The sequence below is a fragment of the Homo sapiens genome, chromosome 13 (assembly GCF_000001405.40).
Source record: "Homo sapiens chromosome 13, GRCh38.p14 Primary Assembly".
Lineage (NCBI taxonomy): Eukaryota > Metazoa > Chordata > Mammalia > Primates > Hominidae > Homo > Homo sapiens.
In genome coordinates, this window is record NC_000013.11 from 23,129,619 (window position 1) to 23,136,530 (window position 6,912).

General features: G+C 41.7%; 1 pseudogene; it reads left to right on the forward strand.

The window, feature by feature from the left end:
* HMGA1P6 (high mobility group AT-hook 1 pseudogene 6) lies at window positions 4,550-6,261 on the forward strand (annotated as a pseudogene).

Consider the following 6,912-nt stretch of genomic DNA (forward strand, 5'->3'; position numbering starts at 1 on the left):
AGGGAAAAAGAAGATAGAGCATACGGTGCCAGAGAGGTGGCAAAGGGGTAGTGCTTCCTGAAGTTCTCCCTTCCTCAGAGCCCCCAAATCTTGAAATGGTTCTCAAACTCACGGAATGTTTGATGCGAGTGGCTGCTTTTGGAAACCATTGAATGAGCTAAATATTTTCTTTAGGGTCCAGACTGCAGTTATCAAAATCTGCTAAATATCATCTTTAGTGTCTTTTAAACTGTGTTTTTTAAATGATTCTATGATTTGCTTCTAAAAGAACCTTCATGTTTTGAAATATTAGACACCATTAGAAATAAGAATTTCTGGTGCCAAATTTAAATATATCTGTGAAATTCACTCGCGCATGGATTTCATTATGTTTAGTGAAGCGAATAAAATCTGTTGTTACGGAAGGGATCTTTGACAGCTCATAATTACATAAAAATAAAAGCATTAGTTGAGTAGAACAAAATTAAGATGTCAGCATTGATGGATTTCATAACTAAAATTTTTAAGAAGCACTTTAAAGCTCAATAACTTTTGCTGTTTAGTGTAGTTACATTAAAATGGTAATGATTCATTTTGCAGCAACTTGACAGTAATTATTTGATTCTTAACACATCATGAAAGTTAATTTTTAGAAACGATAGACTAAAATATATTAAAATCTGCTTAGTTAATTAAGCTGTGAAAGACTAAGATGGCAATTGCAATAAGAATTCAATTTGATTCAAAACCTGGACTAATTTTATAGATTATAAGTAAATGATTAGCTCTAACACTTATAATTAAGGATTGCAATATTAAAACAAAAAGTGCTTTTATGTAAGTTAAAAGTTTGTCCAAAAGTTGGAAATTGAGATCTTCTAACTAGGTTTTCAAATAGGGAAATTCAGTTTGAGGTGGAAAAATTTATAGAAAAATAACTTGAAGACTTGAATTCAAGTCCTACCACCAAAGAATAACATAGGAAAGTAGAAGTAGAGGGGATGCTTGAGGTTGATTTAAATGCTCTTCTAGTTTTAGACTCTGTTTGTTGACACTGAGCTCTGGTTATTAAACTAAAAGCCCTCAATTTGAAACTAAAATCCAAATTTAGAATCAGAAGTCCCTGGTTGGCTCCCTCAATCACTCAACCCAGGCCATCCTTTCTCCCCACGCCTTTTCCACCTCTTCTACACGGGTAGCATCCCTGTTCAGAATATCCTCTTCCCTGCTTCTGTGGGTAATTTGTTTGTTCCTGTCAATCAGCTGTCAGGAGGACTGATTGGGCAGCAATTAATTTCTTATCTAGCAATAATTCTACCAAAACCCAGCACATAGCCCCTCTCTTCCCTCCAGCTGTATCTCAGAATGTCACAGACACAGCCTGATGATGTTTGATCTTAACCTCTGGGGAGTGATCTGGAAAACAATACAATTTCATGAAATGAATTTTGCTGAGGACCAATAAAAATGTGACTCATGTAATATTTCTATATTTTTATCTTTAAAAAGCCCACTATCGTAAGATGGTTCCTAGTAAGTAGAATTTTCAGGAATAAGATTTTATAAACATCAATTAATTATATGGTTTGCTAACATTTCCTTAAAGCTGACTAGGATTAGATTAGATTACCTTAGATCAGATGATTAGATTAGATCTGTGCCTAGGGATTTCAGATGCGTATTTTACTATTAAAACATTCAATGATGGCCAGGCGCGGAGGGTGGCTCACGCCTGTAATCCCAGCACTTTGGGAGGCCAAGGCTGGTGGATCACGAGGTCAGGAGGTCCAGACCATCCTGGCTAAAACGGTGAAACTCCGTCTCTACTGAAAATACAAAAAAATTAGCTGGGCGTGGTGGCCGGTGCCTGTAGTCCCAGCTACTGGGGAGGCTGAGGCAGGAGAATGGTGTGAACCCAGGAGGCGGCGTTTGCAGTGAGCTGAGATCGTGCCTCTGTGCTCCAGCCTGGGCAACAGGGTGAGACTCCATCTCAAAAAAAAAAAAAAAATTTTTTTTCAATGACATTAACACCATACTTTTCATTAAAATAATTGATTAGTGTTCTTTTTGTCATTTTTACAAGTCTCCATTTACACTATATTTATTGAATGGTTTGAATGATGAGTAGGAATTTCCCAGATAAAGGGGTTCATGAAGGCATTCCAGGCAGTGGGAGCAGCAACATTTCTTTTTGGTAACTATTGGTAGCCAACAACAAGGCAAGTGAGTGTTACAGCCTTCACTTAAAAGCTAGTCTCGGCCTGGCGCGGTGGCTCACGCCTGTAATCCCAGCACTTTGGGAGGCCAAGGCGGGCGGATCACCTGAGGTCAGGAGTTCAAGACCACCCTGACCAACATAGTGAAACTCCATCACTGCTAAATGCAAAAAATCAGCCGGGTGTGGTGGTGGGCGCCTGTAATCCCAGCTACTCAGAAGGCTGAGGCAGGAGAATTGCTTCAACCTAGGAGATGAAGGTTGCAGTGAGCCAAGATCATGCCATTGCACTCCAGCCTGGGCAACAAGAGCAAGACTCTGTCTCAGAAAAAAAAAAAAAAACTAGTCTTAGATGAAAATCTGCCCACACACACATACAGACTCATTACAAAATGGGCACAAAATAGTCTTATATTCAGTTGTGCAAATTGTATGAAGTCCACAGTACCTTCCCCAAAACATTCACCTAAGGCTAAATGTGACAATATCCTAATTGTGGAACTCTGTTAACCAAACTTTCAGACACCAATAATGCTCCAAATCAGTGGCTGAACATTGGACCATTTACAGATCCAACTCATAGCTCCACTCCTAGACTACTTGGCTCTCAGTATTTTTCTAGTGTATTCACACAATTATGCAAATATCTTTAAAATGTATCTAGCCAATCCATATACCTTGAACACCATGAATTTCAGCAGTAAACACCATTTCTAAAACCCATTTTAGAAATAGAAACCAATTTCTGACCTCCATCATGCTAATTTGTTGACTGAATACATAGAGTAGCACTTGTGGGAGCTACTTTGGAGTGTGATGCTTCAGAGGAAGGAAGGAACCCAGTGAAGGTGACAGGGGCAAAAGCTAGACTTTTCTGTTCATGCCTTGAGTTATAAATTTGACATGGGAATCATAAAATTGATTTACATAATTAATAAACAAAATTTAATGAATAAACTGCCAAGGAATTTTACCATGTGCTATAGGCTGAATGTTTGTGTACTTCCAAAATGGAGCTGTCATGAATGGGATTGGTACCAGGACATGAAAGAGCTGGCTTCCCTCTCGCTGCTCTCTGCCCTGAAAATCCTTTCAGGGAGAAGACAGCCATCAGCAAACCAGGAAGGAGGCCCTCACCAGAGCCTTGTCATGCTGACACCCCAATCTCTGACTTTCACCCTCCAGAACTGTGAAAAATAAATTTCTATTGCTTATCAGCCACCAGGTCTACAGTATTTTGTTATAGCAGCCCAAACGGACTAAGAAAACCTGTTTTCAGTAACCGTACTGTTAGTGAAACAATTGGTACTGGAATCCTGAAACCAACATTATCCAGTCTGAACCAACAATTACACTCCTAGGTATACACACGACGGAAAAGCTTGTGCAGGTATATCAAAACACACATTCTGTTTACTTAGCCAGAAACTGAAAACAAATCAAATGCCCATCAACAGTAAAACAAAATGTGTTCCAACTATACAATGTAATACATAGCAACAGTATAAATGAAGTTTATAAGCAGTATTGTGCAAAAGAAGTCAGACACAAATCTATCTATCTTGCATCTATTTATCTACCATCTATCTATCATGGGATTTTTATTTATTTAAAGTTCCGACACAGGTAAAACTGGAATACACATAGCATTAGAAATCAAAATAGTGGTTCCTTTTGAGTAAGAAAGGGGGAGTCATGTCTGGGAGGGAGCATAGGTGGATTTCCCCAAATACTTGGAACATTTCTGTTTTTCGGGATGGATGTTACATATGTGGACATTCACAATGTGATAACCCATCAAATTGTATATTTATACTTGGTGCTGTTTTCTGTATTTTATTTTGTTTTAAAATAAAATGCTATTTAATTTCCAAATCTACCTTCCTACAGGTTTTTCAATCAAGAGAAAATAATCTTACAACAAGATATTGCTATAATAGAGATGAAATAAGTTTATTTTGCCTATGTAAATGTATTATTTACATTTTAATTGCTAATACCCATTAGTATTTAAAATGTATTTTTATATTTTAGCTATTTTATAAAATTCTTAAAATAAGTAGTTAAAAGTGGAAGGTAAAATCTAAGTAAATTTAATCTTTATTTTCAGAAGTAAAAACTAGGAAAGAAACTCTCCATATGTGTTTATATGGATTTATATCAATTTATAAAAATGCCAATATGAAGATGATCTATAATGTTATTTAATATAAGCATTTCTAACAAAGAGGTAAATAAATGTAATCATGAGTGAACTTCTAAATGCAAGAGAAAACCACAGGAAAAGCTTTCATATTCATTAGTAACGTTTCCAGTTGAAAACCAGAAAGGCATAAAATATACTCTTAAGAACCAGCTGAGTCCTCTAATTGGGACTCCGAGCCAGGGCTACTTCTGGCGTTGGCCCAGCTCCAAGAAGGCCATCCCAGCCATCACTCTTCCACCTGCTCCTTAGAGAAGGGAAGATGAGCGAGTTGAGCTTGAAGTCCAGCCAGCCCTTGGCCTCCAAGTGGGAAAAGGATGGCACTGAGAAGCGGGGCTGGGGCAGGCCACGCAAGCAGCCTCCGAAAGAGCCCAGAGAAGTGCCAACACCTAAGAGACCTCTGGGCGACCAAAGGGAAGCAAAAACAAAGGCGCTGCCAAGTCCCAGAAAACCATCACAACTCCAGGAAGGAAACCAAGGGGCAGACCCACAAAACTGGAAAAGGAGGAAGAGGAGGGCATCTTGCAGGAGTCCTCGGGGGAGGAGCAGTGACCCGTGCATGGGATGGGACAGCTTTGCTCTGCTCCCACCGCCCCCACCCCCACCCCTTCCCCAGGCCCACCATCACCACCACCTCTGGCTGCCACCCCCATCTTCCACCTGTGCCCTCACCACCACACTACACAGCACATCAGCTGCTGCATGGCGCCCTTGGGCTGAGTGGGGAGCATTCCCCTGGCCTAAGTTCCCAGCTCCCCCTGTCCACCCACACATACACACATGCCCTCCTGGACAAGGCTAACATCCCACTTAGCCGCACCCTGGACTGCTGCATCCCCACTCTCTTGGTGGTGGGGACATTGCTCTCTGGGCTTTTGGTTTGGGGGCACCCTCTCTGCTCCTTCACTATTCCCTCTGGCTTCCCAATAGTGGGGACTGGGAGGGTTCCCCTGGCCTGAAAAGGGGCCAGAGCCCCAGATCAATCTGGCATACCCTACCCCACTGCCCTGGCAGCAGCAGGTGTGGCCAATGGAGGGGGGTGCTGGCCCCCAGGATTCCCCCAGCCAAACTGTCTTTGTCACGACGTGGGGCTCACACCTTTCATCCTTCCCCACCTTCCCTAGTCCCTGCACTAGGTTGGACAGCCTGCTTCGGCTACAGGAAGGCAGGAGGGGTGAGTCCCCTACTCCCTCTTCACTGTGGCTGCAGCCCCCTCACCCTCTGCCTGGGATCTGAGTAATATTGTGGTGATGGAGATGCAGTCACTTATTGTCCAGGTGAGGCCCATGAGCCCTGTGGCTGCCACCTGAGGTGGGCTGGGGCTGCTCCCCTAACCCTACTTTGCTTCCACCACTGGCCATTTCCCCCTCCTTAGATGGGGCACCAGCAACAAGGAGCTCACCCTGCCCGCTCCCAGCCTCCCTTCTGCTCCTCCCTGACCCCCAAATTTCTGGTTCCATTTTTCCTCTGTTCACAAACTACCTCTGGATAGTTGTGTTGTTTTTTGTTCAATGTCGCATTCTTCGACATCCATCATTGCCGCTGCTACCAGCGCCAGATGTTCATCCTCATTGCCTCCTGTTCTGCCCATGATCCCCTCCCCCAAGATGCTCTTCTTGGGGAGGAGGGGCTGGGGGATGGCAGGCGGGGTGACCGGCTACCCCAGTCCCAAGGAAGGTGGGGCCCTGCCTGTAGGATGCTGCAGCAGAATAAACAAGGGGGCCCTAATCTACCATAAAGGGTGTAGGGGCCACCTCCTCCCCCGTTCTGTTGGGGAGGGGTAGCTGTGATTTGTCCCAGCCTGGAGCTCCCCCTCTGGTTTCCTATTTGCAGTTACTTGTATTTAAAAAAATCATTTTCTGGAAAAAAAAAAAAAAAGAAACAAGGGAAAGAAAAAGAACCAGCAGAATTGATTAACATACTGAAAATGTTCAAGTTTGGTTCAAATTTTTACTTCAAAGAGCTTTTTAGATTTACAAAATGTCACGAATTATTTCAGAATTTAAAATAGAACCAGAATCTGGGCAGTATTATCAGTACATAATCTCATCAGATGCAGCTCTGAGAGTTCTATGAAGAAACTTAAAAATATTTCATCACCTAAGAAAGGATATATTATATAATCATTGTCCCAGCTTCAGAGTGCAGTCTGTTACATTTCTTGTCCTGGATGGTAATTTAATTTAATAATTTAATGATAACTATAATGTGCACATTTTGCTATAGCTTATAGCTGAGGTGGAATAGGAAAATGAAAGAGACGCTTTAAAATAAAATAGGAAGAATGAACTCTGGCCAAGTTTACTGACTCAAAAGTAAGATGAAACTCTGGTTCATTTCAAAGCATATTTTACTCTGGGTCTGAAGGCCATAGACATATCTTGGCAATTTTACCTTTCATTCCTACAAAAATAAATGAATAAATTACTGAGAATCCTGAGCAAAAGCTGTGGTGAAAGTTACTTTCAAATTGCCATTAAATGGAGCAAAGATATTGCTCATAAACGCTGAAGCA